Source organism: Homo sapiens, chromosome X (genome assembly GCF_000001405.40).
Source record: "Homo sapiens chromosome X, GRCh38.p14 Primary Assembly".
In the NCBI taxonomy this organism is placed as follows: domain Eukaryota; kingdom Metazoa; phylum Chordata; class Mammalia; order Primates; family Hominidae; genus Homo; species Homo sapiens.
The window spans coordinates 12,474,622-12,501,225 of NC_000023.11; the positions used below are offsets into that span (position 1 = coordinate 12,474,622).

A 26,604-nucleotide genomic window follows, 5' to 3' on the forward strand; every position below is an offset into this window, starting at 1 on the left:
AGGGGATATCATCACCGATCCCAGAGAAATACAAACTACCATCAGAGAATACTATAAACACCTCTATGCAAATAAACTAGAAAATCAGGAAAAAATGGATAAATTCCTCGACACATACACCCTCCCAAGACTAAACCAGGAAGAAGTTGAATCTCTCAATAGACCAACAACAGGCTCTGAAATTGAGGCAATAATTAATAGCTTACCAACCAAAAAAAGTCCAGGACCCAGATGGATTCACAGCCAAATTCTACCAGAGGTACAAGGAGGAGCTGGTACCATTCCTTCTGAAACTATTCCAATCAATAGAAAAAGAGGGAATCCTCCCTAACTCATTTTATGAGGCCAGCATCATCCTGATACCAAAGCCTAGCAGAGACACAACAAAAAAAGAGAATTTTAGACCAATATCCCTGATGAACATTGATGCAAAAATCCTCAATAAAATACTGGCAAACTGACTCCAGCAGCACATCAAAAAGCTTATCCATCATGATCAAGTGGGCTTCATACCTGGGATGCAAGGCTGGTTCAACATACCCAAATCAACAAACGTAGTCCAGCATATAAACAGAACCAAAGACAAAAACCACATGATTATCTCAATAGATGCAGAAAAGGCCTTCGACAAAATTCGACAGCCCTTCGTGCTAAAAACTCTCAATAAATTAGCTATTGATGGGACGTATCTCAAAATAATAAGAGCTATCTATGACAAACCCACAGCCAATATCATACTGAATGGGCAAAAACTGAAAGCATTCCCTTTGAAAACTGGCACAAGACAGGGATGCCCTCTCTCACCACTCCTATTCAACATAGTGTTGGAAGTTCTGGCCAGGGCAATCAGGCAGGAGAAGGAAATAAAGGGTATGCAATTAGGAAAAGAGGAAGTCAAATTGTCCCTGTTTGCAGATGACATGATTGTATATTTAGAAAACCCCATCATCTCAGTCCAAAATCTCCTTAAGCTGATAAGCAACTTCAGCAAAGTCTCACGATACAAAATCATTGTGCAAAAATCACAAGCATTCTTATACACCAATAACAGACAAACAGAGAGCCAAATCATGAGTGAACTCCCATTCACAATTGCTTCAAAGAGAACAAAATACCTAGGAATCCAACTTACAAGGGATGTGAAGGTCCTCTTCAAAGAGAACTACAAACCACTGCTCAATGAAATAACAGAGGATACAAACAAATGGAAGAACATTCCATGCTCATGGGTAGGAAGAATCAATATTGTGAAAATGGCCATAATGCCCAAGGTAATTTATAGATTCAATGCCATCCCCATCAAGCTACCAATGACTTTCTTCACAGAATTGGAAAAAGCTACTTTAAAGTTCGTATGGAACCAAAAAAGAGCCCGCATTGCCAAGTCAATCCTAAGCCAAAAGAACAAAGCTGGAGGCATCACACTACCTGACTTCAGACTATACTACAAGGCTACAGTAACCAAAACAGCATGGTACTGGTACCAAAACAGAGATATAGATCAATGGAACAGAACAGAGCCCTCAGAAATAATGCCACATATCTACAACTATCTGATCTTTGACAAACCTGACAAAAACAAGCAATGGGGAAAGGACTGCCTATTTAATAAATGGTGCTGGGAAAACTGGCTGGCCATATGTAGAAAGCTGAGACTGGATCCCTTCCTTACACCTTATACAAAAATTAATTCAAGATGGATTAAAGACTGAAATGTTAGACCTAAAACCATAAAAACCCTAGAAGAAAACCTAGGCAATACCATTTGGGACATAGGCATGGGCAAGGACTTCATGTCTAAAACACCAAAAGCAATGGCAACAAAAGCCAAAATTGACAAATGGGATCTAATTAAACTAAAGAGCTTCTGCACAGCAAAAGAAACTACCATCAGAGTGAACAGGCAACCTACAGTATGGGAGAACATTTTTGCAATCTACTCATCTGACAAAAGGCTAATATCCAGAATCTACAATGAACTCAAACAAATTTACAAGAAAAAAACAAACAACCCCATCAAGAAGTGGACGATAGATATGAACAGACACTTCTCAAAAGAAGACATTTATGCAGCCAACAGACACGTGAAAAAATGCTCATCATCACTGGCCATCAGAGAAATGCAAATCAAAACCACAATGAGATACGATCTCACACCAGTTAGAATGGTGATCATTAAAAAGTCAGGAAACAACAGGTGCTGGAGAGGATATGGAGAAATAGGAACACTTTTACACTGTTGGTGGGACTGTAAACTAGTTCAACCATTGTGGAAGACAGTGTGGCGATTCCTCAGGGATCTAGAACTAGAAATACCATTTGACCCAGCCTGGGTATATACCCAAAGGATTATAAATCATGCTGCTATAAAGACACATGCACACGTATGTTTATTGTGGCACTATTCACAATAGCAAAGACTTGGAACCAACCCAAATGTCCAACAACGATAGACTAGGTTAAGAAAATGTGACACATATACACCATGGAATACTATGCAGCCATAAAAAATGATGAGTTCATGTCCTTTGTAGGGACATGGATGAAGCTGGAAACCATCATTCTCAGCAAACTATGGCAAGGACAAAAAACCAAACACCACATGTTCTCACTCGTAGGTGGGGATTGTATAATGAGAACACGTGGACACAGGAAGGAGAACATCACACACCGGGGCCTGTTGTGGGGTGGGGGAAGGGGGAGGAATAGCATTAGGAGATATACCTAATGTTAAATGACGAGTTAACGGGTGCAGCACACCAACATGGCACACGTATACATATGTAACAAACCTGCACGTTGTGCACATGTACCCTAAAACTTAAAGTATAATAATAGTAATAAAAAAAGAAAGTACAGCTTTAGTCATCAACTATGTGAAAGCCTCTCTATGCTGGGCATCTGAGAACTGCTGGGCAGACATCGGTCTTTTCAGCTGGGTTGTTTCCAGCTGTCTCATTGAATACAAAGGCAAGTTATGAATATTGAAAGTGCCTTGAGATTAGGAACAATGTGTTAGACAGTGAGATTTTTAAGAATAATTCATATTTAGCAACAAATGAGTTTGCATTGCAATCATTTCTTGACAAATATTTGTTACATGCTCATTACATGCAAGTATAATTTTGTAATGTGTGTACATACCTATTCAACATTATGACTGTTTTGATGAGCTATCTACAAAATATTTTTGTTACTACATTTGTTTATAGATTAAAAGGGCCAAAAATGATCTGGAGGAACTTACAGTTTTGTTTTCTTTTTCCTATCTCCAAGTAGAAATGTTAAGAACTACACATTTGGATTCCCAGAATTCTAAAATAGTTTTAGGGTTCTTGCCCTAGGGAACCCCATGAAAAATTGGAGCACTCAACCGCCTGTGGCAAGATAGGGACAGGTGGCATGGGAAAGTGTCTCCAGGCTCTCAGCTTCCACTGTGCCCTTGCAACACCTGGCCCAGTGGAAACATGCTGGCAACACCATCATGCCCCTTGGGGACATGTATTTTAATTTTAAAACAAAGTGATGTATATGGCATGTGCCTCAATTGGCACCTTCTGCTCCCAGGAAGAAGGAGGTCTCTGGAGTAGGCCAGGATGTTGGTTTCCATGTAGAGAGCATTCCAAGGACAGGAACTGACAGGGAAGGACAGGCCCTAAGAAACCAGAGTAGGCCGGGCGTGGTGGCTCACTCCTGTAATCCCACCCCTTGGGAGGCCGAGGCAGGCAGATCGCATGAGGCCAGGAGTCCAAGACCAGCCTGGAAAACATAGCAAGACCGTCCTCTCTGTAAAAAATAAAAATAAATTAGCTAGGCGCATGGTGGTGCGTGCTATGCCTGTGGCCCCACTACTCAGGAGGTTGCATTGGGAGGATCACTTGTGTCCTGGAGGTCGAGGCTGCAGTGAGCCATGATCACACCACTGCTCTCCAGCCTTAGTGACAGAGCGAGACCCCATCTCAAGATAAAAGAAACCCGAGTAAAGTATGTATAGTGGGGGTAGGGGAAAATCCTTTTTGTCTTTAATGTGTCAAGAGAGAAGCAGTTTTTTAAAAAAGTGCAGACACAAGATTTGAATTAGACAAACCTAAGTTGAAATGCTGGCTACATTGGCTTAATAGCTGGATGACTTTGAGCAAGTGGTCTAGAAGTTTTCTCATCTTTGAAATGGGGATAGGAATAATGACCTTGTCTGCTTGTTTAGATAATTAAATGTGATAATTTTTATAAAATTCTCTTTAAAAGGTGTAGACTGAAAAGTCATAAGACTTAGCTTATAAGGCTAATTTGGACACTCAACTAGCTTGGCCACATATTGAAAGTTTTGAGAATCAATTGCCTCATCTATTACAATGGAGTGGGGGAAGAGAGTCATAACATTACCACATGCCATAAATGAAATCTAAGTAAGACTGTTAATAACACAGGATTGGAAAAAGGGAAACAGTTGCAGAATTCTCCAAGGAACCAATAAAGCATATGAAACAGAGAGTAAACTTGAAAATAAAGCATAAACCAAATTTATGATTTTTCCCCTTTATGCCTCTTCAACATGGGACAGTGGCAGATTTAAAAGTATATTTATATGAAGGAATTACTCTCAAGGGATAAGAGCCATCCTTTTGTGTTTGGTAAAAATTAAGGATGAGGTCCAGAAGAAAGGAATAGGAGAAGTAAAATATAACAGCCTGGACCTATTGTGATGTAAATGAGCAACAGTCTGTATATATATATACACACACACACATATACATATATACACATATATATATACATATATACACATATATATACATATATACGTATATATATACACACATATATGTATATATATGTATATATGTATATATATGTATATACATATATATACGTATATATTATATATATATATATATTTTGAGACAGGGTCTCACTATGTTACTCAGGCTGGAGTGCAGTGGCACAATCATGGCTCACTGCAGCCTTGACCTCCTAAGCTCAAGCGATCTTCCCACCTTGGCCTCCAAAGTAGCTAGCACTACAGTTGCGCCATGCCTGGCTAATTTTTTTTTTATTTTTTGTAGAGATAAGGTCCCACTGTGTTGCCCAGGCTCGTCTCAAACTCCTGGGCTCAAGTGATCCTCCCACCTTGGCCTCCCAAAGTATTGGGATTATAGGCATGAGCCACTACACCAGGCCTGTTCCTAGTTCTTTTTAAGTCTCAGGATGCAGCTAACTTTACCCTCTGGGGTGGTGTCTCTACTAGGAAATGGGTCCCTCCTTTGCAGAGGCTAGGGGAGATTGATGAGATAATGTCTGCAGAGTAGCCTAATCTCCTTGGGAGATTAAGGCTCCCTCTGCAAGTGTACATTTTGATCATTATGACTATCTGTGCCTCTGTGAAATACTGCCAAAGAGAACAAGAAGAGCCTGCCAGAAAGAGAAATTTTCCGAGGGTGAGAGATGAAAAAGAAATGGAATGAAAGGTGAGATTTTAAAAAATAGGAAAAGAAGGAAAAGTAATTGCAAGAAGAAAATGAGAACAATTATATAAACAGAGATTGGATCCAAGGACACATGGCCAAAATCCCAGAATCAGAGGAAGGCTGGTGGTGGTTAAGAAGAAAAACACAACAAAACCTTTGAGAGTTAAAATGCTGAATTCTCCAGGGGTGATCAGAGAAGTTCCAGAATAGAAGCTTCAGGCAGACACTACAGAAATGAAAAGAAATGAAAAAAAAAAAAAAAAAAAGCAAAATTTCCAATAGGTCTTTGCATTTTTGCCTCTTTTCTCTCCTAGGAGAGATTTTTCTATCCTAAAATATTGGATATCACTGGGAGAAATGCATGTGGAATATAAATAGTAATTATGAATTTCTGAGCCTATTAAAAATGTTTATGTTTCTTGTACACAATGCCCTTCCTTTTCAATGCATTCACCTGTGCTCTAGACAAAGCCACTTTCAGAGTACTCCCTCTTTTCACTAAAATGAGATTGGCCTGGACCAGGTTGTCTTGTGCATCACAGCTGATGAATGGCATGCATTTCTGTGGATAAGGCAAATGGTCTTAGTTATTTCAAGAGTCCACATGGGAAACATTTATCACAGCAGTGGAGCTAACATAGACCGTTTGCCTGCAAATGTTGATGGATTGGACGATCGCGTTTCTATTTGCTCAGAGATAGGTAGAAATAATTTCATACTGTCTAAGATTATTTTTGAGTTAAAACAAAAAGTAGCCTAAGAACAAACATGAACTTTGGTATGGATATTTTCCCTAAATAAACTTAGCGGTTGATCAGTTTTGCACTTGTTTGTTGTGAATATAAATTAGGATTGTCTTTTTTCTACCAGAAGCATCTTGAGATCCACAGAACAGGTGACTTGGGGTCTTGACACACTGTTAAGGAGGTAGAGAGTCAACTCAGGTAGTAATACCCAATACCTTTGGGCCAGCCCTTCTTGCTTCCTCCTTGTTGCCTGGAGGAAGAAAGGGAGGATGTGTTTCTGGAACAGTCATTCCTGGATACTGGTTCATTGGAAGCTTCCCAGTGATGTCGCATGTGAGGCATTTACCCAACTGCTTTAGGGAGCTTGCCAGCCCTGCTGTGGCCAGCTTTTCTATTGTCAGGATTCATAGCCACCACTCCCTCTACTTCCCCACTCTCCCACCTAGGCCCCCACGCCTGCCTTTAGCTTTTCCCCTCCTAGTAAAGAGTTTCCACATTTGTACCTATTTTACGAAGTGTCCAACTAAGTCAAATACTTATTCTCCCACATCAGACCCACCCTGTAAAACATGTAAGCAAATACTTTTAGCTTACCATTTGTTGACTAGATGATGACTTTTAAGTACAATTGACCCTTGAACAACTCAGGGGTTAGGGGTGCTGACTTTCATGACTCACCAAAACTCAACTATGAACGGCCTACTGTTGACCAGAAGCCTTACTGATAACTGTAAACAGTGGGTTAACACATATTTTGTCTGTTTCATGTATTATATACCAGATTATTCTTAGAATAAGGTAAGCTAGAGAAAAGAAAGTGTTATTGGGGCCCGGCGCGGTGGCTAATGCCTGTAATCCCAGCACTTTGGGAGGCTGAGGCGGGTGGATCACTAGGTCAGGAGCTCGAGACCATCCTGGCTAACATGGTGAAACCCCGTCTCTACTAAAAATACAAAAAAATTGACCGGGTGTGGTGGCGTACACCTGTAGTCCCAGCTGCTGGGGAGACTGAGACAGCAGAATTGGCGTGAACCCGGGAGGCGGAGCTGGCAGTGAGCCGAGATTGCGCCACTGCACTCCAGCCTGGGTGACAGAGCAAGACTACATCTCAAAAAAAAAAAAAAAAAAAAAAAAAAAAAGAAAGTGTTATTGGATAATCGTAAGGAAGAGAAAATTTATTTGCTATTCATTAAGTAGAAGTGAATCATCATAAAATTCTTCATCCTTATCGTCTTCACGTTGAATAGGTTAAGCAGGAAGAGGAAGAAGAGGGGTTGGTCTTGCTGTCTCAGGGGTGGCAGAGGCAGAACAAAATCTGTGTATAAGTGGACATGTGCAGTTTAACCCTATGTTGCTAAGAGCCAGCTGTATTCACAGAGCCCTGAGGAAACTAACAAGGAAAATATAAAACATTTGTTTCACCCTGAAAGAACTGTAAACCTGATGCGGAAGAAGAGACTCATTTAAATGTCCAAGTTAGATATTTACAGTCAATGAAACTAGAAGGGCTGGTAGAGACAGCCCAGTTTAACCTCCACATTAACTGTGGCTTAGGGAGATGAGCTGACTTCCTGATTCTTAATGTAGTTCTTGTGTTCATTTAACAAATATATGTGAGTGCCTACTGTGCCTCAGATATGGATGTGATCCCTAGTTAAGTCAGCTAACAGAGCCTAGAACTGATAGACAAGTCACCAGGCAAATTAGCAAAAGGAATGGGGGTTGTAAAGAAATCTGTGGGAAGAGCACCTGACTTTGCCCCAAGGGTATAGAAGAGCACAGTCCAATAAAATTATAACATGAACCATGTATGTTATTTTAAATTTTCTGGTAGCCATATTTTAAAAACAAAAACAAACTGCTAAATTTTTCTTTTAATATGTTTTGCTTAACCCAACGTGTCTAAAATATTATTTCAATATGTAATCAATTTATCAAAAATATTGAGACTTTTTATATTTTTTTCTTCCTACTAAGCCTTGGAAATCTGCTGTGTATTTCAGATTTACAGCACATCTCAATTCATACTTGCCACATTTCCAGTGTTCAGTAACTACCTGTGATGAGTGGCTACCATATTGAGCAGAGCAAATTGACAGAAAGTTTCTTGGAGGATGAACAATTAAACCAGAATAATAAGTTGTTAGTTGGCAGAATGAATGGAGAAGAAAGAGTTGGAGAAATCTAGGCCTGAGAGACCAGCAAGCTGAAACACTCTAAGGTTAAAGAAGGCAGTATCTTGCAGAAAATGCATGGAATTCATTGTGGCCTCTCTTGAAGAACAGGGTGGCCATTTATAAAGATGAGGAAGTTAGGCAGAGGAGTAGGTTTGGGGGAATGAACATGAGTTCAGTTTTGGATGTGTTGAATTTAAGATGTCTACAGACAACGAAGTGGAGGTGTAAGGTGGTAAAAACTACAGGAATTCAGAGATCCCACTGTGAATTGGGCTATAGCACAGAAGCTTCATAAGGGAGGTCAGCATTTTAAAGGATGGGTAGCCAATGTCATTTACTCTAGAGGGGCTGTAGGTTATATTGGGTTGGAGTTCTCAGTTTTTGCCATTCAACATGGAGAAAGGGAGACAACAAAGTTAAGTATTAAAATCATCAAAACTTTATGGATCCCAATTTAGCCTGTATGTATCATTCATACCTCATCATCTTCTATAAACAAAGTAGGAGTTCTTGTTATAGTTTCTTGTTATGCTAGAATGGCATTTGGATATAGAATGGAGACCTTTTATTAGTATATTATATTCTAATCCTTCATGAAACCATGGTTCTTTTTGTGTGCATTAGGGGAATTTTATAAATTTTAGGCTGTTATTAGGAAAGATCATTCACAAAATGCAGAAGTTTTACTGTATTATTTTGTGAACCCATGCTGAAGTCAAGTAAATTAATTTTAAGCATCACACTTATTAGTCATTTTTATCCAAATTGTTTCTAAGTTTTTAAAACACCCTCTAAATTTATGTACAAACTTCTTATATAGAATCTAGGTATGGAAAAAATTAAAAATTTTAGATTTTTTTTTACTGGGGAAAATCAAGTGAAAGACAATGCTATATCCCTAAGTATTAACTTTAAGTAAATTTAACATTTCTTCTATGAAATTAACAACTAGTAGGACGTGTACGGGCTTACGGGACTCACAACTGCAAAAGAATGGAATTTGCAGGGCTGGTATAATGACAGTAAGTGAATGAAATGCTGAGCATTAGAATATACAATGGATGAATATGATCGTCCATTGTAAAGGAAAGGATTTGACTTAGTCTCCCTTCTAGAGGCAATGACAGAAGATATATCTTTTTATTCCATTCCTTAAAAGATACACATATAAAGGAGGAAATTTTTAAAGAAAGAAAAAAATTAATTGCTTACAAAATGCAATTACTGCCTCTTTTTCCTGCTGGGTCTTTAGAGCCCAGCTAAGACTGTAAAATACCAGATGAATGGGATTGCTGGAGCAGAAGGAGAAATACACAGCCCATAAACCAGCATGCCAGTGGCTGTGCCATTGGGTTGTATGCATTGGAAAGCACAGAGACTGTGCTCTTTATCTCTGCTGCAGTAAAGATTCACCAAGGATTGGTTGTGCTAATATCAAGTTATTTTATGGCTGCAGTTCATTATGGAGCCTCTTGCAAAATCCCTGTCAAACAAAATGGCTGTCAGAGACACTTTTGTTTTGCTGCCAAAAGCACCATTTGGTTTCTGCTCATTTAGTTACAGGTACAATCAGATGTTTGCTTCTTGCTCTCGGTAATTTCACTGTCCTCAATATAATGGCTTCAGTTATGCCCTAGAAAAACCTCTAGAGTTCAGTTTCATTCCACCCTGTTTATTGAGCTCCAAGTTTAGACAAATCCCTAAACTGGTGGCACATGACTTAACTCAAATGAGTAAGGAGGCTCAGAACCTCGTAAGATAACTAGTATAACTTATAACACAGTAAATGAAGCCACATGGAGTTGTGCAAATGGTGGCCCTGGAGATAAATCAGTCATTTAATTTCTCTACCTACCTATGTATGTATCTATTGTTGACTGTAATATAAGATGCAATTGAAGTGCTGTGAGGCAGGTACTTACTACTCGATAGCAGGGGTTGGCAAACTTCTTCTGTAAAGGTCCAGATGGTAAATATTTTAGGCTTTGCAAGCCATACAGTCTCTGTCACACTGCTCAATTCTGCTGTTTTTGTGTGAAAGCAGCCATAGATGATACTTAAACAAGTGGACACTGGGCCAAGGCCACCGGATGTAGTTTGCTGGGCACTGATGTGGAGAGTGGAGGGAGGAGATGCCATTATTGGATGTGAGAGTCAAGCCTTTGTGAAGGAAGTAGTACAAGAAATGATTCTAACAGGATGTGTAATATTTCTGTAGGAATATCTATTTGCAATCTAGTTTATTCTTGGTTGTTCTCAAATTATTGTGTGTATAATAGTTTTCTGTCATCAACTTTTGTACATGTTCTTCAAATAGTGGGGCCAAGTGATCATTTTGCATTCCTACTGAGTTTAGATGAGTTCCAAGATATGATATAGGCTCAATGAATCTTTTTGGAGAAGAATAAGGTAGGGGCTTCAAGGGAAGTTTCCCAGAGGTTTCAATCTGATTTGCTAAAGAACCAAAGCCGTAACCAAAGATTAAGGACAAGCTATATCTTTTGTATTGTATGCGGAGTTGTGGATGCTGATAGACCTTCTTAAATAAATGCTTAACCCAGGAGTCTGCACAGAGAAGGGAATCCTAGACTACAAGGGAGGCTCTCCGTTAATGTTAGAAGGAAATAAATTAGAGCTTCATTTCACTGGCGGTCACCATGGTCGTGTATAAAAATCTGAGATCAAGACCAGGAGTTTGAGACCAGCCTGGCCAACACTGCAAAACCACATCTCTACTAAAAATACAAAAATTAGCCAGGCATGGTGGCATGCACCTGTAATCCCAGCTACTCAGGAGGCTGAGGCATGAGAATCGCTTGAACCCAGGAGGTGGAGGTTGCAGTGAACCAAGATGGCGCCATTGCACTCCAACCTGGGTAACAGAGGGAGATTCTTTCTCAAAATTAAAAAAAAAAAAATCAGAGATGACTATTAATGTGAAGTGCAAGTTTTGTTCAGGAGCCATATTTTGTTTTGTGTTGCTATCTATTGTCAAACCAGTGCTCATTAACTCTCTTGCCTTGACCTGGGTCTCCCAAGATCAGTATCAGGTAATGAATGGGTACCAACTTCCATCTTGGCAAATCCCTGCCAGGCCAGGGAGCCCCAGGTTGAAATCTCCAACAGGGATAGTTAACATCCTGTTTCAGGAATGTATAAGGGGCTGGCAGAGATTTGCCAGGATGGAAGTCAGCATCCACTCCTTACCTGACACTGACCTTGGGAGACTATGCTCAGACTGTGCTCCCTGAGCCAGCAGCTTCAACACCACCTGGGAGCCCATTAAAAATGCTGAATCCTGAGCCCCACTCTAGGCCTACGGAAACAGAACCTGCATTTTAACAAGATGCTCAGGTGATTCTTATGCACACTAAAGTTGGAGAGGCCCTGCTATAAGGGGCACTTTTCATTATGAAAGGCTTTTCTGCACTTTTCTAATAAAGGTAACAGCTAGCTGCTAAAATCTCCTTCCTGGAAACATTCACAGTTGCAGATACATTATCATTGTCAGCTGGAGAAGATTTTGAGAACTTGTCTAAACTTAGCAAGTCATACATGGTTACAATATAGCTGTTTCCCACAATTTGTAACTCTGTGCTCTTTGTAAATAAATGTCTTCCGTACTGTGGAAATCATTATTCCATGATATAGAAATATTGAGAGCTTATTGTCTTCTTAGTGTTTTCAACTCATTTCCTCTTCATAACACATCTCAGGAAAATATATGATGGTTTTTGTCCTGATTCATAAAATGATTATGTTTGGACATGAAAAGGTAGCAGGGCTCACTTGAGCCTATTATGTGGGTTAGGGCAAGGAATTTCTGGATCTTTCTCTGTGTTCAGTGATAACATGCCTATCATTGGAGCAGATGGATTGAAAAAATATCAATGAACTCCAAATGGAAGCTGGGAATGATGGATGAAAACTAAGAAACCCTAATATGGTTACTAACAGCATCACTTACCTTGCTATAGATTTTTTATTATAAATGTCATAATAAATATAATTGTTATTGAAATTGTTATGGAAATGTGAGACCAGAATGGGAAACTATGAAAGTTATAAAAGAATGTGGGCCTTCTCTTTCACCTCCAGAGTTTGAGGTAAGCACCAGCTCTTAGAGATTTTCTAAAGACATAAACCATAAATCTGTTTTCCCTATATGCAGCAAGGAGGCATGATGGTCATATTTTCAGCTCATACTCAACACTACCTCTTCCTCTCTCTCTACTTTGTATTAGGTTGTTCATTCCTTTCAGGGCGGGGACTTGTCATCTGTGTCTGTCACAGTTCTACTCATAAAATTGTGCTCAATAAAAGGGTTTCTGTATGAACAAAACAAAAATAAATAAGTGCAGAGTGATATTGGATGGGAAGTATCTGCAAATTGGTTTCCATCACTACTGGAAAGTCCCCACATTATCCTTATTTATATCTTTTCTAACTGCAATGTTTGCAGTTGTTTAAAGACAAAAAAAGAAAAGGAAGAAGAGAAGAGAGAAGAGCCGAGAAGGAGAAAGAGAAAGAGTAGTAGGGAGGCCCTGAGTGATAAATATCTATTTTCAAGTGTATATGTTTGTATGCCCTATGAGGCTTGGTGCACTTTCTATTCTTACACATTTTTGATGACCTTGGAGATGTATAGATACTGAGAAATCTAGTGAAATTATATATTTTCCTTTAACATCTAAGCTGGGAGTATTAAAAAGAATCATTTCAATTTCTACACTTCAAATACACATTTGTTCCTTCTATATTAATAGCTTCAGAAAATTATGGGATACCATGGAAATGCATGATGAATTCAGGGTTGGGATGGGGAGAGACAATGGTCATGGTAAATAAATGCAGGAACAAAGCTGTGAATCTCTTCATTAAACAATTTTAAAAGAAAAGCCACCAGAAATCTTCCTAGAATTAGATAAAAATAAAGTACACTAGGTTTATGTGTTTTGTTTACATTATATATAACCCATTAAAAATATTGCAAATGCATTCTAACTCTGGGGAAGGAAGCCAGACAACATATTTTAGCACCAGTGCATTTAGGTGTACCTAAGTGGGCTGTAACTTTCCATCTTACCTTCTTAATTATGTCAGCAGGTTTACTATAAACACCTGCTCTTTAGGGATTATAATTCAGCAGTAAAGAAAGGGTCTCCAGCAGACACTGAGATAGCAAGCCAAACTCAAACATGTTTTTGATAGAAAATAGGCACTTTAGCTTGGAGAACTACCAGCCTTTGGTAGTTTAAAAAAATGTGAGTAAGGCTAAAACAATGGTGGACATTATTAGATATCATACCACTTGATAGTAAAGCTATCTTACAACATCACATTTGAAAACCTTTAAATATCAGCTTGTGATACTGTTTCCACAAGCCCCAAAGAATCTTGATTTGAATTTTGGAAAGCAGCCACTAGAGTGAGTTTTTCCATTATTGTTTTGGACTGCCAGCATATTGCATATTTGAAATACCATTCCTCCAAATAGTGGCCCTATTTACAAGACAAGATCAATTGTTCAGAGATTTAAAACTCCCCATAAATATGCAGGTATGTGATGGGTTGAACTATAATGTTCTATCTTTGGGTCAAATGCTATGGAAAATAGAATTTTTTTTTTCATTTTCCCTGAGTGGTGAACTGTTACTTCAGTGAAAAAAAAGTTTTGCACAATTTGTGTATCAGAGTCTCTTCCAGTCCTGTTGAAGATTACGGCCTTTGAGAAAGAAACCTGGTTAGTCAACCGAGGTGAACATTTTGGAGCTTGAAGGGACTTCTGAAATCATGTAGTCTAGCCCCTTCATTCTAAAAATAAGAAAATAGAAGGGCAGAAAAATAAATGACTTTCTCAAGGTGACACTATAAATCAGAGGTCAGCAAACTATGGCTCGAAGGCCACATGTGGATTTGTTTTTGTAAATGAAGTTTTGTTGGAACACAGCCATGTCCGTTAGTTTCCACATTGTCTATGGCTACTTTTGATACAATGGTGGAGTTGAATAGTTGGTACAAAGAGCTTATGACTCATGAATCTGAAAATATTTAGTATATCTGGCTCTTTACATAAATTTGCTGATCCCTACTATCAATGGTAGACTTAGAACTTAGCCTCCTCAGAATAGTTTTTAGGAAATATTTTGGTTTCCTTACTCAGAAAGAATTTAAGAACTTAATGGAATGGGAGATAATTATTAAATAGATATACTTTTAGGATTCTAAGTTTTTAGGCAAAGTCAAGAAGATTAAGTAAACTACAGTCTAGATAAATATAGGTTAACCCATAAAATTCAAAAATAATTAAAATACATGCCCATGTCCCCAACAAACAGTGAGAATATAATCTTCACAATGAATAGCTAAATCGGAAAATGTTTGAATATTTCGTATACATGTTCAAGGGAAGCCAGTTGGATTTGGCTAAGCTTGGTGAGTAGCAGTATTAGGTTATGAGTCATCCATAAATAAGTGAAATGTGAAGATGAATTTTATCTCTTAAAATGATGAGTGTTTGCAAAAGTGTTTTAACAACACATTTGAAAATTAGATTAGGCCATTTGGCAGATTCAACAATGCTGTGTTTCATTAACTCTGTAATCACTGTCAAGTTCTATGACATGATGCATTTGGTGGGTCCTGAGAGCAATACACAGGTTCCATATTACCGCTAAAGGCAACAGACTGGGTCCTAAATGAAGCAAGAAAAAGCATTTAATGATTGGTATGGGTTAAACTGTTGTCTGTGTGGGATAGTTTGAGGAATGTAAGGAAGATTTCCCTCTCTCCTGAATTTCCCAGCATGAACTCCTAACTGAGAAGTTTCAATTAAAGCTCAGGATTCAGGGGACAACCCAGAGCCAGGACAACGTCCAGGTTGGGTGAGCCATGATGCCTGCCTTCTTCAACAATGTTATAAGTCCCATAAGTGTCCAGGAAAGCAAGCACCCTATCTGCTTGTCACAGCTCTAGTCCTACAAAAGGACTGATACAAGAGTCCTCAATGAAACGTTTTGAATGAGTGAATGAGCAAATGTAATGTCATGAGGGCACTGGATGCTTGAAAAAGAGAAATAGAGCTCTCAGACTACATTCTATCCCACACAGCGGGAACTGTATAGTATAGGGTTGCTATATGCAGTACGAGACTGACCATGGAACCTTGCAAAATTTACCTCTCACAGTTCTGGGGCCAAACTCCCCCTTTTATAATAAACCATTCCCACGATAACAGCATTAATTCATTCATGAGGGTGGAGCCCTCATGACTTAAACACCTCTTAAAGGTCCCATCACCTCCCAATACCACTGCATTGGGGATCAAATTTCCAACATGTGAACTTTGGGGGACACGCTCAAACCATTGTAGATGCTAGGCTAGAAGAAAAAAGTCTAAGTTAGGTGATCATTGGTGTTTATTTTACGTGTCAATAACTCTGGTTTTGTCTATTCTGTTCACTGATGCATTCCAAGCACCTAGAACAGCGTGTGGTACAAACTAGGCATTCAATCAATATTTGTTATATGCATTAAAGAATGTGTGCAAGTAATAATGATAGCAGCTTTTGATCACCTATGTCATACAGTCCTTACAACAATTCAACAGGATGGTCGGTATTAGTCCTAGTTTTCAGAGGAGAAAGCTGATGTTTGGACAAGGATAAGGAACCTGGTTAAGCTCACACAGATGCTATGAGGTGGCATCAGTGTTCAAATGCAGCTCTGTCTGAATCTAGACTCCATGGTTTGGCTTTTTTTTCTACTTTATTCTTCCCTGATTTTACACAAGTAGTAGCAGGTTGTACATATTTCTGCATATTGATTTTTTTTATTTTAATGTATCTGCAGAGTCTTCCCAAATCAGTACATAAAGAATTTCCTCATTCCTTCTTTTTACAGCTGCATAGTATTCCTTTGTGTGGTTGTGCCATGTTTTATACTGATGAACACTTAGGACAAAATGTATGCTCCTTTCAGTTTGGATAGAGGTTGCTAAATTGCCCTCTATCAGGGATTGCCAAAATGCACTCTGGGCAATATATGGCAATGTGTTTCCCTAGAGCCACACCAGCACTGTATGTTTTCACACCTTCAGTACTTCCTCTCTACAATTTCTCCAGCGATTCCACCAAGAATCCACATGGAATCATAACCGTTTTCTAGTTTCATTTGTTTAAAATAAAATCCTAAGTATGAAAGTAATATATATTCACTATAGGAAAAATATACAAAATTTAAATACACAATATAAAATACACAAAATTTAAATACGCAAGAATTTAAAAAACCACCTTAATCTGACAACCCAGATTTAACCACAGTGTACCCATTCTTCCAGACTGTTTTTCTTGCCTATGCACACAGATTTTTTTTACAAGGTGGATCACATGGTGCACACCCTTTTTGTAACCAACTTTGTTCATTTAACTACATCCTATGGCAGTCGGTCTTCATCTACAACTTTGGTTTAATGTCTGAATGCTATTCCATCATTGGATGAGCTGACGTAGTAGCAAACAACCCCTCTTGTTGAGCTGTTCTAAGGATTAAAAAGAAAGAATCTGTGAAAGTGCCTAGAACAGTGCCTGACAGCAGTTATTCAACAAATGGCATTTCAACACACATGTATTCTTACCCACTCAAAGGCAGAGAACTACAATTTTAATCCTAACATCCTGTGCCAGTATCATCATGTAGCTTGGATTCATTTATTAATTCAATTCCCATTTGAACATCTATCATGTGCCTGGCACTAGTCTGAGTAATACTGATAGAAAGGTAAGGACATTGTCCATCCCCTCAAGGGTGAGTGCCCAGCCTACCACCTGGCATCATATGCTTGGGAAGTATAATAACAGCTACAAACTCATGAACAGGTACAACAGCATTCTAGCAGAAGGAGCTCAAGACTTGACCTGTTGACGGTTCTCACATTTAGCTCTGTGATGCCTCTCTGAGCAATGAATCTTAGCCATTCTACTATGCTATCTCCTCAACAATATCATGCTAATTATATTGTCCTTCCACATTTACAGAGTTGGAGAATTCAGTGAACTAAGAGATGCAAATGCACAGTACAAAATTCAAATGTCCAATTCGGGGCAGGGCTGCATCTAACTTTAATGGCAACCACTGCATGTGATGTCTGGGGACTCTATAGATACATGGCCTCAGACCCTGAAGACATCTGGATTCTGTCACTGGATTGTTCACAAAGTGAGGCTGAACTTTGTAAGTAGAAACTTTTGGAAGAAGACCAGTTAACCCAGATTTAATTATCCTAATAATTCTCCCTGATACCTAATTAAGAAACATAACTAACTCAACAAGCTGTGAGAGGCTTGTGCTGAAAATCATAGATGTATAACTACATAATTAATTTTATTGTGTGGGTTGGTAAATCATGTAATGAATCAGATGAAAATAATCAGAAAAGTATTTCAATTTGGTTGTTAAAATATACAGTCAAATGTCTTTTACCATAGTGAAACTCTTGATTAATAATACATTTCTTCTTGATTAAAATCATTTTGTAATGAATATATTTTTGAGCATCTGCTTTCATGAGGCTTGGCATTAATATTTAAAGTAGTTTTTAACTGTGTGCTTTTCCCCCTTTACTATATTTTCCTGTCCTCCTTGTCATAACAAAAGTGACGTCTTAAAAATAGTTGGTGGGATGATTTTTACTTCTATCTGTGGGGCTTTGAAGTTATTTTCAGGCTATTAATGTAGCTTTCCTCACATGTACCTGTGCCAAAACCTGCTAATAAGGAACAGTAGAATGAAAAGCTGCTACCTGTTGTATGAGATCAAAATACTTTGACTACTGTACTGAAGCTTGATTTAATGGAGAAAGTTATGTTCTGAGGGAAAAGAGAAAGCAGCCTGATTCAGGACCTATGTGTGTCTACAGCACGAATAAATGGAATGAAAAGACCTGGTTAGCCGGTTCCTTACTGATTCATGGGGGCAAGAAACTGTACAGGACAGTTTCTCCCTGAGGGTCATGCCAGGGACCCTCTACTAACCCCAATGTGACATATCAAGCTGGGCACAAAAGAAACATGGCTGTCTTCAAAACTTGGAGCTTGTTAAATTCATCCAGAACCATCTATTATCATTCATTTTCCTCACACCTCTCCACTTCCTTACCTTAACCCACATTGCATGTCAACCCAAAACATACCTTGAATACCATCTGCTTGCAAATGTAAAATACTATCTTAGGATACCTTGAGGTATCTGTAGGGTTTGGGGTTCTATAATCCAACCACCATTTACAGCAAGCTAAATGAGAATGCTATATAACCTTGGGTTAGTCTGAAAATAATCTTTGTGAGTCCACAAAGATAAGAATGATAAAATTCTGGATCGTGTTTTATTTTGTTAGACCTGTATAGTATCATGCAATGTCACCGATGAATGACCGAATGCATAGAGCTTTAGCTTTGGTTTTCCCATATCTGAAATGAAGATAATGCATTCCTCAACACCAAGTCTCAAAGGATGCAGCTTATTCCTGGCTACCTGTCCAAAATATTACCAGATACATAAGAAAGCTGATAAGTTGTTATCACACTTATTTGTGGCACAGTGTAAGTAATATGGAGTTTGGAGTAGAAAGTCTCAGGGCTCAGTAGATTGCTGTCCCTATTAGGCTAGTTATACACCCTTTCTGTGTCTCAGTTTCTTCATCTTTGAAAGGGAAATAATAATGCAGGCGCCTGTTGCGTGCTGAGGCAGGCCTGTGAGTATCCTAAGCAGTTATATCCTTAGAAATGCTGCGTGCTACTCTTATTAGTATGACCATTACTGCTTACAACACAATGTACCATTTGATGAGACTATTCTAAATGAGTCAAGCATTGTACTTTAGAGCTTTATGTATCTCATTTATCTGCATAACATCACTGTGAGCTAGTTGTTATTATTTCCATTTTACACATAAAACTAAAACCCAGAAAAGCCAACCTGTTAAGTGGCAAACCTGGTATTTGAACTCTTTCCCTCTGATGTAAAGATATGTTGTATTTATCACTATTAGACTCTAAGCAGAAACCTTGAGAATGCTTGGTTTTATGTTTTATTCAACTAAGGTTTATTGAGAACCTGCTATATACCAGGTACTATACTAAGAATTGTGCATTAATTACATTATCTTCTTGTAACAGTCCTATGAGCTAAGCAGGGTTTTTTCATCTTGGCTCTATTGCCATTTTGGCCAGATAGTTCTATCTTTTGAGGGGCTGTCCTGTGTGTTGTAGGATGTTTAGCAATATACCTAGTCTCCTCCTCCCCTCAGTTGTGACCACCAAAAATCTCTAGATATTGCTAAGTGTCCCTTGGGGGCAAAATCACCCCAGATGAAAAACAGTGAGTTAGAATAATTCTACTTTACAGGTGATGAAAACAAGGTACAGAGAGTTTAGAGTAAATTGCACAGGGTCACAAATCTAGTAAGTGGCAGAATTTGAATCTGACTCGGGACTTTGGAACCTGACCTCACATTCCTTCTCCCCTACGGCATCCCTTTTTCTGATACTGCCATGTTTCTAAGGAAACTCAAATACCAAAGAGGCCTCCAGGTGGCTCCTGAAAGCCTGCCTTCTCCTAGGGCGAGCTGGCCATCGAGATTTTGTCCAGGACTTAGAGGCATGAACGCAGGAGGAAACCATGGGTTGCTTCCACTAATGGTTGCAATACAAATCGTTCCACAACTTTGTCTGTACCATTCATAGCTGCTCTCATTTCCTATCAAGTATGAAGACATTTTTTGTCCAGGAAGGTTTCAATCTGTTGCAAACAATAGATGGGTAAAGCACAAAGTTACAAACCAGTTCAGTCAGTCGCTGGGAGTTTCTGAAGTGACTTAAATAGCCCTGCCAATGTAGGTCGCTATTTTTAAGGCTGAGCTAAGCGTTTGAAAGTGGTTCACACAGCCATGCTCTCAGATAGAAGTCACAGGACATCAGAATTGCAAGAACTCTCAAGGCCTTGCCTGAGCCCGGTGGAAATGGACACTGTGCACCCAGGATCACACAGCTGGGATTTCTGGTAAAAAACTTTCTGATGTTTCCTTCCGCCTTGAGAATGGCTGAACTCATCACCTTCTGACATTCTGGGAAGGTGTGACTGCTTGGTTAAGACCCTTCTTGCCCTGCTCTTGCCAGAATGGAGAAGAATAGATGACCAAGCCTTTCACTGTCTTTCTGTTCTGAGGATGGATTAAAGCCATTCATACTTGCAAAACCACCCAAAGTCCTATATTATAGTTATTTAGCAAAGACTTTATAGCACATACTGAGTGCTTTACAAAATTCACTTAGTATTCTCCCAATGGGTCCTATTGTCATCATTTTACCAAGGAGTAGCTGGAACTGAGGGGGTTAGGGAGATGAAGTAACTTGTTCAAGGTCGTGGAAAATAAACGGCAGAGCCTGGATTGAAGAGAGTCTGGTTCTAACCCAGTGTTTCTCAAACTTGAGTGGGCATCAGCATTGTGTGGAAGCTTGTTAAACACAGATTGCTGGATCACCCCCATCACCCCAGAGTTTTGGATTCAGTAGGTCTTGGGTGGTGCCCCAAAATTTACATCTCAAATTCCCAGGTGATGCCGCTATTGCTGCTCCTGGGACTATGCTTCTCAAACTCTCTGCTCCAGCATATCTGCTCTTGATCACCACATCCTTCCTCTCCTACCTTGTCAGCTAAAAATAAAAAATAATAATAATAAAAAAAAAGGTAGAGTTATGTGGAGCAGTGGGTCGCCACTTTGGCTGACCTGGGTAGTATAAAATACCAATGCCTAGGCCCTATCCCCAGATATTCGGGCTCAGTGGCTTGGCTTTGGTTCCAGGCATCTGTAGTTTACAAGTTCCTCCATGGGGGATTCCAACGTGCAGTAAGGCATCACACTGGAAACCACTGATTTGGGTGATGCCTCACAAACTTTCCAGGGTATATAAATTCCATAGGGATCTCAAGAAAATGCAGATTCTGCATTTCTAACAAACCACAAGGTAATACCCATGCTACCAGATCTCAGCCGAAGCTTGGGGTAGCAAGAACTAGTATTTCCCAAACCCCATGGTTACCAGTTAAAAAATACAGAATGCCTACTTCAATTTAAATTTTCAATAAATAATAACATTACTTTTTGGTATAAGTATATCCTATATATTACAATAAAATTATACTAACATTTATACTAAAAATTATTCATTGTTTATTTGAAATTCAATTTAAGTGGATACTTTTGTTTGGCTTTGCTTTTTGGCTAAATCTGGCAACCCTACCTGAAGACAAGAATCATCTGAATTACTTGTTTCAATGCATTCACACCTACTCATGGATTTCTTGTTCTAATGCAGACCTACTGAATCATAATCATCATTTCTGGGACCTGGTAATCTGTATATTTAACAAGTGCTGCCAGGTGCTTCTTTTCAGCTCAATTTGGGAAGTACATAAAACCCTGGATTATGCCTGCCTGAAATCCTCATACTGGCCGTTGTCAGGGCTGGACTTGTAGTCATCACACTGCATAGGAACCGGAGCCAAATCCCTCTGCAATTACGACCTGTGTCGTTAACTTTTCTCAAGGTTGTTATAGATAAATACTTACAAAGGGTGTTTTTTTTTTCTACTTGCACTTTTAATTTGCTAAATCATACTAAGGCCTTTCAGATCCATGTATTTTTTTTGTCAACACATTAACAGACATGTAGCCATGTTTGATCTTAATTATTCAATTATTTGTTTTGTATCAGGGGATACTCCTTGAGCTAGATTCAGTTGATTTGCATTTGTAGAGTTTTCCAGTATTGGCACTTCATTTGGTATTTTATGACAAGAGGCTTTATTTGAAAACATCTTGCTAAATGGTTGTTAGCTGCTTCCTGAACATACTGTACAGGAAAATGTAGTTTATAATAAAATTCAGCCTTCCTCCAACTCGTTATTATAATGCTATATTTTACATGTAAATTATATTAGGAAGCCTGTGTCTTTCCTTTAGTGATTAAGATTTCATGGAGGGGAAGAAGAATGGAAAGGAAAGGAAAAGGAAAAGGAAAGGAAAGGAAGATAGTTTATTTGTTTTCAATAAGTTAGCCTCCTCTGGGGAAGATAAACTTTCTGACACCGAACATAATTGAGTAAGCCAGAATAAATTGTTGCATTCTCTACATAGGCCTCCTTTCACTCACAAGGATATTCTTTGTGCCATTTCTAACTGTACTATTACTTTTGGAAACATTTTTAATAGAATAGACTGTGTTCATACCTGTAAGTACTTTTCTTGATACCACCTTAGAAAGCATTCAAATGCATTCTCTACTAGCGTAGAGAAATTGGTGGGTTTTTTTGGTTTTGCGTGTGGTTTTTTTGTTGTTGTTGTTTTAATAGTACCTCAGGGTAGCAAATTCATGTGTTCTCTCACTGCAGGGAAGCAGCACATTAAAAAAAAAAAAAACCACCAGAGGAAATTGCCACTGCTGACTTTTGTGCAAAGAAGAGGAACAAAATGCTTGCCATGTCTTTTAGTAGTCAATGGGCCACAGATAATCCTATGGTGGCATTCTACATTTACCAAACCAGTATTAAATTTGTGAACACTTTTTTTCCAACAGAAAAACTGTTCCTACATCCTTTATGAAGGCTGTAGGAAAATGGAAAGGAAGTTAAGAAAAAGGAATGGAGGTGGTTAAAATTATGCAAAATAGTTCATCTGCAGAAAACATGCAGGAAATGGGCTTGTTTCACTTGAGAGGTGTTGGAAGGGCTGGGCTGGGGAGGGATGAGTTGCCCAGTATCCTGGGGAATTAAAAGTCTGAAAGGCCGAGACCCCTGCTTTGGATGTTTGCTGCGGAAGAGCCACCACATGAGGTTGTTCAGGGTGCACCTAGTGCGAGAGTGCCCAGCTGTGTTAGCCCCTGCCACACTCACTAGCCTGGGTGGGCACCAGGCTGGGGGAAGGGTGCCTGCTCTGCAGTCATCTGACTGCAGGGGGTGCTGTTTCCTCTTTGCAAAGGGCTCACGGGTAGCTGAGACTGTGAGTCCCTGAAAGCATCATCACTGCTCCCTGCCACCAGCTTCGGTGGTGCCAGCCTGGGATTTGGAACCACCCAAAGGCTTTTACAGGCTATGCAGTGAATAACTTCATCTGAAGTGAAAGGACCAAGTGATGAGGGATGTTGAGCCATCCTAAAATAGCATCATTTACTTCCTTCCGAAGTATGGTTAAGGTCTGAGGAAGTCTTGGGCATACATGAGGGCAAGGAGGAATTTCTGCAGGTCCTGGGCTGAGGAGGCTTAGCCAGGATTCAGTGATGCTTCAGAAACTGGACTCAGGCCTCTGGTTACAGACTGTGACTACAAGGCTGCCCATTGCTACTGCTTGTCACATGGAGTTACTTCCTCTTTCTTCTTGATCTTGGAAAGGCAGGCACCTAGAAAATTCTCCAGAACCTACCCTTTCATTTTGCTGCTGAATTGAAGTTGTAAACTAGAAATTGTAAAAGATAATGTGTCGATTTTTGTTGCAACGTTAATTGGGGGTTTGCCCAATCTAAGAGGAGCAAGTCACATTCTCCTTCCAGAGTTTGTCTCAGAAGGAATGTTCAGGAGTCAGGTGTAATGATGCTTTTTTTTTTTTCTTTTCCAGCCACAGGACGAAGTCTTCAGGCTGGCCGCCTCCCTCGGGAACCTGGGGCTTGAGCCAGGTGCCGCCCTATGGATGGGAGATGACGGCAAACCGAGATGGGCGAGACTACTTCATCAAGTAGGTTAAACAGATGGCATGAACAATAGAATCCTTGGCCAATGGACTTCTTTATCTTTGTTTATGAGAATGAACATACTTAAATTAGGCACTCATAGGCATTTGGAGGCCATTACTAAAGCAGCTGGATCTCTTAAGCCAGCTGCTTATATTTCTATATATTTATATATTTATTTCTATACATTTATATTTCTATATATTGTGATGTTGGGTTGCTTCATTCTTCGACAGGCACCATCTTCGAATGACAAGTCACTGTGTAGCATGGTAAGCCTGGCTCAGAGCAAAAGTTTCCACCGTTAAATATTAGGCCAAGTTGTATTCGTTGTCTGAGATTAACAACCGAAGTTGGACATGCAAGAATCTCATTTACAAGGTTTTCTAGGAGTGGTCAAGACAGGAATGCTACTTTCTCATCTGTAATTTTTTAAAAATCAGCTAAAAGGATTATGTACATTATTTGTTTTATTGTAAATTTCTCACACTAACGTTGGCTTAGGTTTTGGATTTTTGTGGTGCTCTGGTTTTTTGTTAATTGTGGTATAGAGAGAGAGAGAAAAAGAGAGAAAGATAACATGAAATTTACCATTTTAACCAGTTTTAGGTGTACAATTCAGTGGCATTAAGTACATCCACAATGTTGTGCAACCATTCGCTACTATCCATTTCCAGAACTTTTTCATGATACCCGAAAGAATCTTTGTACCCATTAAACAATAATTGCCAGTTCCTCCCTCCCCTTACCCCCTGGTGACATCTATTCTACTTTCTGTCTCCATAAGTTTATCTGCTCTAGGGACCTCATACAAGTGAAATTTATATATTTTCTGTCCTTTTGTCACTGACTTCTTTCACTTAGCGTAACGTTTTCAGGCTCATCTATGCTGTAGCACATGTCAGAAGTTTTTCCTTTTTTTATTTTTCCTTTTTAATGTTCCCTTGTGTGGATAGGCCACATTTTGTGTATTCATTCATCTGTTAATGGACATTTGGGTTGTTTCCACCTTTTGTCTATTGTTACTGGTATTGTTATGAACATCGGTGTACAAGCATCAATTTGAGTCCCTGCTTTCACATCTTCTAGACACATACCTAGGCGTGGAGTTGCTGAAACATATGGAATTGTTGGGTCAAAATTAAAGGCTGTGTTTAACTTTTTGAGGAACCACCAAACTGTTTTCTGGAGTGGCTGCAGAGTGGTTTTTTTGTTTCGTTTTTTTGTTTGTTTGTTTGTTTGCAGTTTTGTGAAAAGAGCATTTCTATTTCTCAAAATGGCAAGGGTCCATACTGCCCTTTTTCTCCAACCTGAGCAAAATATCCTTAATTATAAGAAATTCATGAAACAGATTTGAAATCAGGAAGTGTGGTTGGGTCTATCCTGATTATAATAGAGGAGAGATTGGAGGCCAGAAAAAAAAATTATTTCACAACCACATGCTACATTCTTTGTTCCAGCCAAGTTGATTATGGACTGATTAGCCAAACACCGGATCACCGTGAGGTGAGGGGTCATTTTTATAAAAAATATCTGCCAAGATTGTTTCTAGGGGATTTGGTCTTTTGTACCAACCCCCGCGCACCACCACATACAAGTGAGGATTGTTGGAAAGTATCAACAGGGACAACACATGTGAGTGTTGTGGACAGTTTCTCAGTCTCTGAAGCCCAAATCTCTCTCCTTCCCTAGAATTGCTGCACAGGGGACAGGACTCCCACCCCTTCAGAGCACAGTTTCTTTCTGACGTACTTAACTCCTGGGTCCATCCCAGGAAGATCCAGTATGCCCTTGAACATGACTGGAAAGTGGCCCCCTGGCTTCCCAAGGCTTTCCTAAGGATATGCTCACAGAGATACTATCATAGAAATGGCAGTGGGAGCAGGGCCTCCCAGAAACCTCAAAGATTAGAAGAAAGGCCAATAGTTTGGCTCAAACCCCAGAGTTTGAATTCATAATTTCATACCGTTTGTCCAAGTCCCTTAGGCTGCTAGGAAGACAGTATTTTTTAATATTATATTGTACCATCTATTTTGTAACATGGCTATGATTGTGTGCAATTGGCTCAGTTAAGGTGAACTAGATGCTTTGACTCAAAACAATAAAAATTTTGGGCTGAAGAAATATAATTTTTAAAAGATATGGATGATGGGTTTATGAAGGTATGCATCAGACTTCTCTGATTAAAACAGGTGTTTCTTTTCCCCTGGTTGGATTTGGGTTCCCATACATTCCAGGTCATTCCATCAATAGGTGGAAACCCAAACTGAGGCCAACTGGTTAGAGGTTCTGGGAACGTCAGCTAGCTCTGCCTTCATGCATTACCATTAGCATCGCTGACATTTTTAAGAGCCAGCCTGGGTGTCAGTTTAACATTTACACTGGCCTAATGCCCACTGTTAAAACATAAGAGCAAATCAGCAGCTTAATAGAG

The 26,604-nt window shown here is 39.3% G+C and overlaps 1 protein-coding gene across 14 annotated transcripts in view; it reads left to right on the plus strand.

Annotated features, from left to right (window-relative positions):
• Positions 1-26,604, plus strand: part of FRMPD4 (FERM and PDZ domain containing 4) — a 902,085-nt gene that overhangs the window by 652,183 nt on the left and 223,298 nt on the right. For 11 of the 14 annotated variants that reach the window (NM_001368398.3, NM_001368395.3, NM_001368402.3 and 8 more), the window contains one exon: positions 24,059-24,175. In NM_001368398.3, coding sequence (NP_001355327.1) covers positions 24,059-24,175 — 117 coding nt within the window. Of the gene's footprint in view, positions 1-20,343; positions 20,449-24,058; positions 24,176-26,604 lie in introns of those variants that run through there. The other 3 variants (XM_017029985.2, XM_005274632.4, XM_017029984.2) reach the window with 1 other exon arrangement.